The following is a 12,186-nucleotide window of genomic DNA, read 5'->3' on the forward strand; positions in this document are numbered from 1 at the left end:
TTTGCAAATATCTGAACAAAGCTATTCTGGCCAGGGAAGGAAGACTCCACGGAGGAAGTGGGAATTGGATCTGGCTTTTGAAGGAGGGGTTCAATTCTCAGAGGACTAGATGAGGAAGGAAAAGGCATGTTCCAAAAAGGGGCAGGGAATTAAAAGTTTATTTTCTGGGTGACTGGGAACCTCTGAGCCCTTGAGCACGTGCCTTAGATATGTTAGTTTGGCAGCCAGCAGTCTGTGCATAGAGGGTGATAATGGTGTTGGACTCCTCTGGCCTGCACGTGGCGAGACTCAAAGTTTCCAGACTTCTTTTGGGGGCGGTGTCTGAATTACAGTCTCCGGGGCTGCAGAAAGATGAACTCCATCAGAAGATCCTCAAGGTCTTCCCCACTCCTTCAGTGCAGACTTCATACAGAGAAACTGTCTAGGCGACACCTGTGCAAGAACTGGACACGACCCAAGCTGCAAACTGCCCCTGACCATCCCGGCCTTCCCCGTTCGATCCTGGAGGTGGGGGTGGGAATGGAGCGCCCAGAGCGGGCGATCAAGCTTCCTGGGAACTGTGAATTGGGGCGGGGGAAGCAGGAAGGACGAGGCCTTTCCAGACCAAATGGCCCTAACTCCTGCACCGGACCAGGACGCGTGGCGCCTCCAGAGAGGACGCCCATCGCCCGGAGCAGGTTGCGGTCCCGGTTCCCGCCGAACTCTAGCAACCGCGAGGAGAAATGTCTGCCGTAGGGGGCGGAGCGCAGCGGGGGCGGAGCGCGGACGAAGGGGCGGAGCGAGGACGAAGGGGCGGAGTAGAAACGACGGGCGGGGGGCGGAGCGAGAATAATGGGGTGGAGCAAGACGGCGGGCGGGGGCGGAGCGAGGACGACGGGGCGGAGCGCAGACCGCGGGCGGGGGGCGGAGCTGGGATGATGGGGAGGAGCGAGGATAAAGGGGCGGAGCACAGATAGAAACAGGGGCGGGGAGGGGAGGGGCGTTCTCGGCCTTTGGGACCCGCCTCTCGCCGCAGGCGCGCCTGCCCCGCCTTCTCACTCCCCACGGCGGCGGCTGCGGAGGCCGAGGGCGGGGAGGGAGGGGAGAGCGGGTCACGACGCTGCCGGGGCGGGGATAACCCCTCACGTGGAGCAGATGAAAGGGCCGCGGCGCGACGGCCGGGGGAGCCGAGCTGAGCCTGCGACCCACAAAGCCGCCGCCGCCGCCGCCGTGATGGGGCTGTGAGGCGTCCGCCCGCGTTCGGTCCTCAGCCGGCCCGCGACTATGCCCGGCCGCGCCCGCCCTCCGCGCCCTCCCGCCGCAGGACCATGAGGCCGCGCTCGGGCGGGCGCCCAGGGGCCACGGGCCGCCGCCGCCGCCGCCTGCGCCGCCGCCCCCGCGGCCTCCGGTGCAGCCGCCTGCCGCCGCCGCCGCCGCTGCCGCTGCTGCTCGGGCTGCTGCTGGCGGCCGCGGGGCCCGGCGCGGCGCGGGCCAAGGAGACGGCGTTCGTGGAGGTGGTGCTGTTCGAGTCGAGCCCAAGCGGCGATTACACCACCTACACCACCGGCCTCACGGGCCGCTTCTCGCGGGCCGGGGCCACGCTCAGCGCCGAGGGCGAGATCGTGCAGGTAGCTGCCCGCCGCCCGGGCCCCGCGCCGCCTCCGCCACAAGATGGCTCCGGGGGCTGCGCCCGCCGACCCCGCCGCGGGCTGCCTGACTGGCGGGCGGGCGGGAGGGGTGGCCGAGAGGCCGGCGGCATCCCTCCCCTGCGGGCGGGCAGGCGGGCGGGACGCGGCCTCCGGGGCGCATCCGCGGGGGGCGAGCGCACGTGGGGGCTAGAGCTCCTGTGAACCCCGGGGCGGGAGGGGCATCCTGGGCCCGGCACCCATGCTGGGGCAGCCCCCTTGGCCGGTTGGGTATTTAGGTCTGCCTCAGGTGGAAGTCCCGGGAACTACCTGTTGAATGCCAACTTTGAAAAGACAAGTGATGAGGGATGGGGTGGCTCGTTTCAGGTTGCAGGCTTTGCTTTTCCATCCATGCATGTTCTTTTTGGGTGCGGCCAGGTTTGTCTGAAGGGCTGCACAACGTCGGGTTCTTCCCCGGAACCTGCCGTCCGCCTCACCTGGGCGCCGGTGACCCTTCTGCGGGGCTCTGGACAAGCAGCAGCAGGCAGGGGAGGAGGCGGAGCTGGTCGAGGAGTGGGGATCGGGGGTTCCCTGGAGTGGCGATGGAAGGCAGCCCTCGCTGCATGCTTCACATTACAGAGGGTGGGAGGGATACCGCCTGCCCGTCCCTCGGCCAAAGACTGATGCGAAGGACCTGCAAATGGGGAGATGGCGTATCTCACTGACAGGACCTCCACCTTGGACCAAATGAAAGAGATCTACATTCCAAAGGAAACTGGCTAGGGAGACCTTTAAGCCGTGCCTACTCTTTGGAGGAGGGACTCTCAACTGAAGCTTCTGCGGATGGTTAGCTGGGTGGATGTCTTCCCGCTTCCTTGGCCGTGATTTTATCAACTTGTTACTAGACAGCCAGCGCACTAATAATGGCAGTTAATATGCGCGCCTCGGATGGGGGCGATTCGTAAAGGTTGGCTTGTCTTTGAATCTTTGGGGTGATCGGATGTCTGCAGGGCCTAAGCTTTGTGGGCCTTCTGTGCTTTACTCTTGGGTGAGTTATGAATGAAAAGAAGGGGACTCCATGGAATGATTGCATAGCAGCCCGCAGCGTAGACAGCCTGTTCCGTGGTGTCCTTTTCCTTCCTTGGGTGCAGACTCAAAGCCCTGCCTTCATAGGACAGGGAGAGCTGTGCAGCTTGACTCCGTAGAGGTGTGCCCTTACAAAGCTGGAGGAGGTACCCAGGCCCATGCGATTAATCAGCAGCATTGCCTTACCGGGCTCTTATCCCCATCCGAAAACTTCTGTAGGGTAAATAGAAGAGGAAACTCCTTCATTGAGCCCTTTGACTATCTATGTTAATGCTTTTGGACTTAAAAAAAGTTGTAATTATGATCTTTATAAGTTTTAGAGATGATGCTTTGCTGAAGATTCCTAAACATTTAAGTCTTGCTCCTTGGCAACTTCTTGTCTTTCTTTGAGGCTTTCATTGTGTCCTGATGGTTTTAGAAATGTTTGATTTACAGCCTTCTAAAAAAAAAAAAAAAAAAAAAAAAGACGCTCTAGCGTGGCACTTGACTTTTTGAAGGAGACTTTTGAAGTTTGCAGTTTTTATCTGCAATGTTTTAACGTGTCACTCTTTCTCAACAGTAGTTTGTCTGGTGAGCGAGCTATCCATTATGAGGAGTGTTATGCTTTGGAGATAATCTTGGGTTCACCATTTAATACAAAATTAGCAGTTTAAACACCATTTGTAACTATTTTATCCTTGTGAGTAGAGAGATAATATGTGAATTTGGCAGAAGGAATCTATTCTCTTCTGAAACTTTTTGAAGTGCTTATCTAACTCTTTTGTAGTCCATTAGCCTAGCCAAAAAAAAAAAAAAGTCAATAGTTGCTAAGTAAAGTGACTTAAATGGTATTTAATAAGTTTACTTGTTAAGCAATCACTAATAGGTGTCCTTAATTCCCTTATAGCTGCAGTAATGTTGGTGAGTTTATCTGAGCTGTCTGAATAGTCATTTCATGGTGCACCTCGTATCTTTAGTAACTTTATTGTGGTAGCTGACTTGTTGAACCTCCCTGTTTCTGCGGACAGAGTGCAGTGTGGCTTTCAGGGATGTGTGTGTACAAAGGCTAGCATGCTTTTATGAGTTCTGCAAATACTGTTTGATTGAAGGAATTGGTGTGGACCTTGTCTGGCAGCCCTGAAAAAGTTTTTTGTAAGGAAGGCTGATGATGTTTTAGGGCCGCTGAGAGGGAATATAACATTTTCTTTTGGTGAGAAATGAGAAAGCAGAAGGAATAAATTGCTGTCCAGCTTTGGATTAATCATGTTTTCTAAGTAACCTGAACTTTTCAAAACCTCCTTTTATTTACTGTCTTTAAATAAACCTCCTTTTGTTTACTATCTTGAAAAACCTTTATAAGCTTTAGAGATGATGCTATGCTGAAGATTCCCAAACATTTTATCCACAGTCTTCAAGAATAGTTTGAATCTTAACTCTTGCTCATTGTAACTTCTTGTCTTTCTTTGAGGCTTTCACTGTGCCCTGGTGACACAGTCTCATTGAACTTTTCAAAACTTCCTTTTATTTACTATCTTAAAAGAAAATAGTAGCCAGGCATGGTGACTGACGCCTGTAGTCTCAGCATTTTGGGAGGCTGAGGCAGGAGGATTGCTTGAGCCTAGGAGTTCGAGACCAGCCTGGGCAACACAGTTAGACCTGGTCTCTACAAAAAAAAAAAGTAGCCCAGTATGGTGGTGTGCACCTGTAGTCCCAGCTATTTGGGAGGCTGAGGTGGGAGGATTGCTTGAGCCTGGGAGGCTGAGGTTGCAGTGAGCCATGATTACACCACTGTACTCCAGCCTGGACAACAGAGCGAGACACTCTCTCAAAAACAAACAAACAAACAAAAACTGTGATTTGCTGCTTAGTGTTTTATCGTCTCAGAGCAGAGTTCATTTTCCTATAACTAAAGCTAAATAGTAGCACTATAGCATTGCTTTTGTTATTTCCACTGGGGTTCTGTAGCAGTTTTATTTATTCATGGTTTAGGGGAGAAAAAACCTGTTTAGGAGTGTCACCTTTAAGAATTCTAAGATAAGGAATTCGTTTGTATTACTGATTTTTAACCCCCCTCCTTATTATATGCCAACGAAGAGAGAGAGAGAGAGTGTGTGTGTGTGTGTGTGTGTGTGTGTGTGTGTGTATACATATATTTGTATAGTAGATACCTTATCATAGTCTGGTTTGCCTAGATAATTCTAACTAGAGTACCTGTTCAGTCATTTCCATGGGTTAGGGTAGGGGAAGCCTAGTTAAGAATTGTGTCAGTTTGTCAGTGTCAGAGAGAGAGAGAGAGTGCAAGAGGGAGGGAGGTAGTAATTCAAACCTTAGGATTCGTCATCAGGAATCTTGGTTCTTCTCCTTTGCGTTTTAGGCTTAAATAACTATCCCAAGGTCACCAATGTAATCTGAATGAAGAATTTTTTTTTTAATGTCTCCATCTGTGAAAGTTGTGGTGAAAACAATTTGTGGGTATGAAATGCTATTAGTTACTTTTATTATCTTATGTATTTATGCAGTATTAAAGCCTGTTTGCTTGTAAGAGTGTCAGGCATACAGTTTGAATGCTGGAGAAATTAATTACACTTCTCCTGTAGTTCTGAAGTGTGGGACTTTAAAGGGTTCTTAGATATATTGATACATATTTCATCTTTGAACCAATTTGTTGCTGTTAATGAGATCATTATCTGAAACTTTCAGACTTGGCTGTGCAACTCACATGGTTGGTGATGTTAAATAAAGGCCCGATTAAACACCGGCTAGTGGTATGTGGATTGGTTAAACAAAGAAAATTTGCATTGCTAGAGATGAAAGATTGTTTTAAAGTCGAAATGCATTTTTTTTTTGCTTGAAGTCAAATATTTAGAAAAGCTTGAGAAATTCATTTGTAGAAGGAATCTGAATGACAGGTTCTGTGTAACTTTAAATTCAGCCTTTCTGGGTCCTAGGTTAAATGCTGAATGGACTTGAAAACAGAGAGAAGCTGAGGACATTTAAGAACTAAGTCAGTTCCTTTAGCTATTAGGGGTGGGTAGAGAGCTGGGTGGTGGGTTAAAAGGGCTGATCAAGGTCCTTAAATATCCGATGTTAAGTAAAGGTATCACAGAGAGTAATTTTAGGAAACTAATTCCTCTGCTTTGTTTCCCTGTCAGTGTGCTTCTGCAGTTTAGCATTTGATCAAACACTTTCTTTTCATCTCCATTTTAAGTTAACTTAACAGGCCTGCCTCTAAAAATTGACTTGGTCTAATAGAACAATTGTGTGCTGACAGCTGACCTGGATTTAGACAGAAAGGGATTGCCTACTGTCTTCTCAGATGGGCCTTCATAGGTTAAAACCAAGCATTTGATTCAGGGGGAAAACTGGGGCTGTATTTTGTGATGTTATACATTCTTAGAGCCCCTTATTTTCTGTTTTGTTCCCTGAGATCTCATGGGAGTTACTAGTACAATTCTGAATAGGAATGAAATTGGAGTTCAGTGTAGAGCTGTAGATTAAAGGGAAAGTAGTGATGGTTTCCTCTTATTTATACAGAGCACTGCCAAGCATGTCATGTTTTGGTTCTTCTCATCCTGACACTAACATGCAATTAGCAACTATTGTTAATCCATTTTACAGAGGAGAAAAACTGAGGCTGAGAGAAGCAAGTTGAGTTCTCTAACTTCACATGGCTAGCAGATGACAAACCTGGATTGAAACCCAGGTCTGGCCGGGCGCGGTGGCTCACGCCTGTAATCCCAGCACTTTGGGAGGTCGAGGCGGGTGGATCACAAGGTCAGGAGTTCGAGACCAGCCTGGCCAATATGGTGAAACCATACAAAAAAAATACAAAAAAAATTAGCCAGGTGTGGTGGCACATGCCTGTAATCCCAGCTACTCAGGAGGCTGAGGCAGGAGAATTGCTTGAATCCGGGAGGCGGAGGTTGCAGTGAGCTGAGATCACACCACTGCACTCCGGCTTGGGTGACAGAGCGAGACCCCGTCTCAAAAAAAAAAGAAACCCAGGTCTGCCTGGGTTGCTTGTTCTTGTTTTTGCCAAGTGAACAGAACTTGGCTGGTTAGGATTTTGACATTAATTCAAGTCTAATTTTGAACAACATATAATATAGGGGTTCTTAACCTGAGGGTCACAGACTTTCAGAGATAGTCCATGAACTCCTGCAAGTGTATGCGTATTCTTGTCTATGGGCAGTTACAACTTTGCCTCTTCCAGGGTTCTGTGATGTGTCCCCTCTATACCCACAAGGAAAAGGGGAAACTCTAATCTAGTAGAGCATTGAATAATCCATTACCAAGAGTTTGAGTGGGGTTCAGGCTGACAAGAGTTGTACGGAAGTCTACAGGTCTGGGTGCCTCCATTGAACATATTTATTTTGTAGACATCTATCACAGCCCTATTCTGTACCAGACACTGTATTGCTGTTGTCTTCTGGAGTTCAGTCTCCTATGGAGACAGACACATGCATGGATAAATGATAATTCTTACCAAATGGGTTTCTCCACCGAACTGAGCCCTTAGGCCCTGAGGCATCCATTGTCTATAATGAATTAACTTCCCTCCTGTGCACTGCGCAGCATCCTTGGGAGAAGAGAGAATATAGTCACTCAAAGACTTTTCTGCATTTACATGGCAAAGTGTAAGAACTTGACACTCTGAATGCAGGATGTGGGAAAGCAGAGTATAGTTCCGTTTCATAGTTCATTGAAAAATGAAACGGAGCACCTGTCGCTGTTGAAATGCCTGAAGAGTAGCTTCTCACACCTTCCCTTGTGGACCTGGACCCCATGGGGTCTGTTTTTGCTCATTTCTGGATCGACCCCCTGGGTTCCCACTGCCTGCTATGCATGAGGCACTCAGTATTGAATGAATAAATGATGGAGAGTGGACATCAGGCAGGCAGTGGGTTTTATGGATTATTTATGCTTTAATTGATGAGAACAACTTGCTTTGGCTTGGCTAATAAATTCTGGGATTATCCTTCCTTTTTGATTGTTATTTCCAGAAACTTGCTTGGATGGAAAGGATAGCTCTCTCTCTGGTTCCCATAGACCCACTGGTATTACAATACTGGGTTGTATGAAAGTGATCTGGCCCGGTGTGGTGGCTCACGCCTGTAATCCCAACACTTTGGGAAGCCGAGGCGGGCAGATCACAAGGTCAGGAGATCGAGACAATCCTGGCTGACACGGTGAAACCCTGTCTCTACCAAAAATATAAAAAATTAGCCGGGCGTGGTGGCGGGGGCCTGTAGTCCCAGCTACTGGGGAGACTGAGGCAGGAGAATGGCGTGAACCCAGGAGGTGGAGGTTACAGTAAGCCGAGATCACGCCACTGCACTCCAGCCTGAGCGACAGAGCAAGACTCCGTCTCAAAATAAAAAAAATAAAAAGAAATCTGTGTGGGGTGTTTATATTCCAAGGCAGGGTACCTGGCATAAGAAAAGTCTGAAGGTGTTCTTTTCCTGATGAAACTGAGTATTGACAAAGCCTTAAAGTGGATAGGTTATGGAAGGAAAGAATCTTGAATTTCCAGTGTCCCTGGGAGTAACAATAAGGGATTGGCATTCAGTATCATCGTTAACCTAAATATATGCCATGTGAAAAACTTTGCTGCTTGCTTGCTTTCTCTCTCTCTCTCTTTTTTTTTTTGTCAGGGTCTCACCATGTTGCCCAGGCTAGAGCACAGTGGTAAGATCATGGCTCAGTGTACTCTTGGACTCCTGGGCTCAGGCAGTTCTCAGGCCTCAGCTTCCCCAGTTGCTAGAATTACAGGTGTATGCCACCATACCGAGCTAATTTTTTATTTTTTGTAGGTATAGGGTCTCGTTATGTTGCCTAGGCCGGTCTTGCACTCCTGGCCTCAAGTGATCCTCCTGCCTTGGCCTCCCAGTGCTCTGGGATTACAGGTGAGAGCCACCATATCTGGTCAGAACTTTGCTTCTTGATGGTATTTTCCCAAGTCTGGAGAGTTTGGATTTCTAATTTGTGACATTTAAGTAAATCTTCATAATCAAAAGAACCAGATTCAGTCCTTTAATGTGTTAGAAAGGAGACTGAAATCCAGAGAAATGCTTTGCTGAAGTCCACATAAGGTAGAGATGACCCAGGATTAATATTTGGGTCCCCTGACTCCCAGGCTTGGAGCCCTTCTGTTACCCCCGGCTGTAGCCTGGCTGAGTGTGACAGGGGACACCAGATGCAGGGCATGCTTTATGATCAGATGTATAATTGAGGAAAGCCAGGCATTCTTAAATTGTATATTGGGTTTAAGTGGTTGCTTTTCTTCTCTAATTAATTTAGATTTTGAGTCTCTCAGTCTTCCTCCCTGTCAGAGCTTTTAAAAATAGCTACTAATGATCAAGTGCTTATTGTGTGCCAGGCACTGGGCACAGTGCTTTGCTCACATTTAACAGACAAGGTAGATGGCATGTGCCAGAGAGGTAAAGTCACTTGTCAAAGTCACTGAGCAAGTCATTAGTGCAGCTGAGGTTCAAATCCTGGTCTGTCTGATTCTAAGCCATTTCTGTTTTCACAAGCCCGCTTCACTTCACACTTTCTTATGATGAGGTTATGGGAACTGATGTGGAATTTAGAGTTGAGTTTAAACCCAAAACGATTGACCAAGAAATAAGTCTATAACGTCAACTGAGAAAATCCCCTATCCTCACAAAGATGTATTTCCTTCCTTTCTTTTCCTCTTCTTTTTTTAAATCACAAAAGTCTCATTCTAACTTAGTTTTTTCCATAAAGAGCCAATCTACCAGGTTCACAAAGAGGGACCAGTGACTTGACATATATAACTGTCACTCGATGGCACTTCTGTTGTTTTCAGCTATTGGGCAAGCTGGAATGGCTGTAGTTTTCTGGCATTTAAAGGGATTTCTGGTGTGAGACACACCTCCTTCCTGTGGCTGACTTTTATAGCAATTTGGGAGTCTGCATGTCTTTCTCCAAAGAGGTCACGTCCCATGTTTGTGACCTTTCTTACTTTGCACAGGCTCATTGAATCCTCTTGGTTGTTAAAACTTACCACGAGTGCTACATGCCTCAGTGGGCAAACATTCAGTGGTGCCCCCCGTCCATCAGATCCTTTGTGGGGCAAGGCAATGAACACAAGAGTAAGACTTGGTCCCTGCCTGCAGGCAGCTGAGTGTAGGTGTCCAGACAGCACACGAACGGTTACCTTACAGTACAGTGGGGCATGTCCTATCTGGTAGGAAACAGCCTATAGGATACTGAAGAACACCTGGGGGAGGGAATCGGGCCCTGGTGCTAAGTTTAGACCTGTCTGTCACTGTATGAGCATTCTGGCCTTTTCCAACTCATTTTTACCTACCTTTGAGGTTAAAGCTGATAACCTCTTTGAAGAGAGGTGCCTTTATACCTTTCTAACGGAATAGGAAGGAGGTAGAGAGTAGAGGTTCTTTGTTCTATTTGTAGCTTGAATGAGATGTTTTAAAATCTGACTTTCAGTGGCTCTGTTTACTCATGATAGTGTCAAAAGAATAAGGTCAGCTGGCCCATTGTGGTTCAAAGGAGAGCACTTTATTTTTATTGCCCTTAAGATGTGTTGTAAGACTTGATATTAATTTCCTCCTCTCCCCAGCAGCCAGTGTAATATAGTTGTTTAGAAACTCAGTATAGAGTTTGATTCTGTGAAAACGAAGTTTGATCCTAGAATTTTGATGGGAAAACGTATGTTAGAATGGGGACTTCTGGCCTCCTGGTGCAGAAGTGCCTGCATTTAAAAAATAAAAGAGCCGGCGCGGTGGCTCATGCCTGTAATCCCAGCACTTTGGGAGGCTGAGGCGGGCAGATCACGAGGTCAGGAGATCGAGACCACCCTGACTAACACAGTGAAACCCCGTCTCTACTAAAGATACAAAAAATTAGCCAGGCGTGGTGGCGGGCGCCTGTAGTCCCAGCTACTCGGGAGGCTGAGGCAGGAGAATGGTGTGAACCCGGCAGGTGGAGCTTGCAGTGAGCCGAGATCACACCACTGCACTCCAGCCTGAGCGACTGAGCGAGACTCTGTCTCAAAAAAAATAAAAAAATAAAAAATAAAATTAAGAGTGGGGTAGTACTCAATTAGGTGTGTGTAAGTTCCCATCCAGCACTGTAAGAATTTTATTATAACTTAATTTTCTACTTGAGTTAATTTGGCTTTGCTATCTTGTCAGCAAACATTTATTGAATGTTTACTGTAGATACCGTATAGAGAAGAAACATCGGTTTTATGCACCCGTGGTATAATTTGTGCTTTTCAAATGTTATTTTTCTGATTTATTCGAGAGTTTGAGGCTGCAGTGAGCCTTGCAGCTACCAGTGTGAGCCACCGTGCCAGCATTGGTAATTTTCTTTCTTTCTTTTTCTTTTTTTTTTTTTTCGAGACAAGTTCTGGCTCTATCGCCCAGGCTGGAGTGCAGTGGCGTGATCTTGGCTCCCTGCAACCTCTGCCTCCTGGGCTCAAGCCATCCTCCCACCTCAGTCTCCCGAGTAGCTGGGACTACAGGTGCACATCACCACATCCAGCTAATGTTTGTATTTTCTGTAGAGATGGGGTTTCCCCATGTTGCTCAGGCTGGTCTTGAACTTGGGAGCTCAAGCAATTCACCCGCCTTGGCCTCCCAAAGTGCTGGGATTATAGGCGTGAGCCACTGTGCCCGGCCTGCCTTGGTTATTTTCATAAGATTTCTAGAATTAGGTTCACTGAGTTAAGTGATATAAACATTTTTGAGGCTTTTGCTACATATTTTTAGATTGCTCTACAGGAGTGGTCTAGTTTATACACCCCTACCAGGTCGCCATGTATGTTTCTACACAATAGCCCTGCTCGCAACAGATAGTATATTTTGCTCTGTTGCCCAGGCTGGAGTGCAGTGGCGCAATCTTTCTTGGCTCACTGCAGCTTGAAATCTCAGGCTCACAAGTGATCCTTCCGCCTCAGCCTCCCAAGTAACTGGGACTACAGGCATGCACCACCATGCCTGGCTAATTTTTTTTTTTTTTTGTAGAGATGGGTTTTTGCCATATTGCCAAGGTTGGTCTCAAACTCCAGGGCTCAAGTGATCCACCCACCTTGGTCTCCCAAAGTGCTGAGACTATAGGCGTGAGCCACTGTGACCCACTGTATGTTTCTCAAAAATACAAAATGTCGTAAAAGTGAAAGTCTATATATTCCTATCATTTAGTAAATAGTAAAATACTGGCTTTTTTTTTTTTTTTGTCTGCCATAAGGATCTGAATTATGACTAATGTCTGCACTGAAGGGAAGGTACCTGGCGTGGCATCTGGGTGCCTCCCTTGTAGGTGTATCAGAGCATGATTCAGGAGCAGCAGGTTGCCCTTGTATTCTGGGCAGGAACACGGCGTCTGTCCAGGCAGATGGCCATGCTCAGAGGCCTCACGGTGGGGACCGCTGTGCTGTCGTCACACCCTGTGGCAGCAGATTGTTGCCCAGGAGGGTGCTGCTTCAGTTGCTGGTTTCTGCCCTTCCTCTTTCCTGTCGAGCAGGCTT

At 47.8% G+C, this 12,186-nt stretch overlaps 1 protein-coding gene across 1 annotated transcript in view, besides 3 other annotated features; it reads left to right on the forward strand.

Moving 5' to 3' along the window:
* Positions 820 to 1,219: a silencer, noted in NCBI's record as "silent region_13582". NCBI's record gives its function as "represses an Ori minimal core promoter by ATAC-STARR-seq in GM12878 lymphoblastoid cells {active_cell/tissue: GM12878}" and the evidence as "EXISTENCE:reporter gene assay evidence [ECO:0000049][PMID:35858748]".
* ZNRF3 (zinc and ring finger 3) overlaps positions 1,113 to 12,186 on the forward strand; it is a 173,917-nt gene continuing 162,843 nt past the window's right edge. The window contains exon 1 of the mRNA NM_001206998.2: positions 1,113 to 1,607. Within this exon, the coding sequence (NP_001193927.1) occupies positions 1,308 to 1,607 (300 nt within the window). The 5' untranslated portion in view covers positions 1,113 to 1,307. The remainder of the gene's footprint in view (positions 1,608 to 12,186) is intronic.
* Positions 3,502 to 3,796: a silencer, noted in NCBI's record as "tiled region #4838; HepG2 Repressive DNase unmatched - State 1:Tss". NCBI's record gives its function as "represses a minimal TATA promoter and a strong SV40 promoter by Sharpr-MPRA in HepG2 cells {active_cell/tissue: HepG2}" and the evidence as "EXISTENCE:reporter gene assay evidence [ECO:0000049][PMID:27701403]".
* Positions 9,702 to 9,996: a silencer, noted in NCBI's record as "tiled region #5766; K562 Repressive DNase matched - State 19:H4K20". NCBI's record gives its function as "represses a minimal TATA promoter and a strong SV40 promoter by Sharpr-MPRA in K562 cells {active_cell/tissue: K562}" and the evidence as "EXISTENCE:reporter gene assay evidence [ECO:0000049][PMID:27701403]".

This window comes from Homo sapiens, chromosome 22 (genome assembly GCF_000001405.40).
Source record: "Homo sapiens chromosome 22, GRCh38.p14 Primary Assembly".
Lineage (NCBI taxonomy): Eukaryota > Metazoa > Chordata > Mammalia > Primates > Hominidae > Homo > Homo sapiens.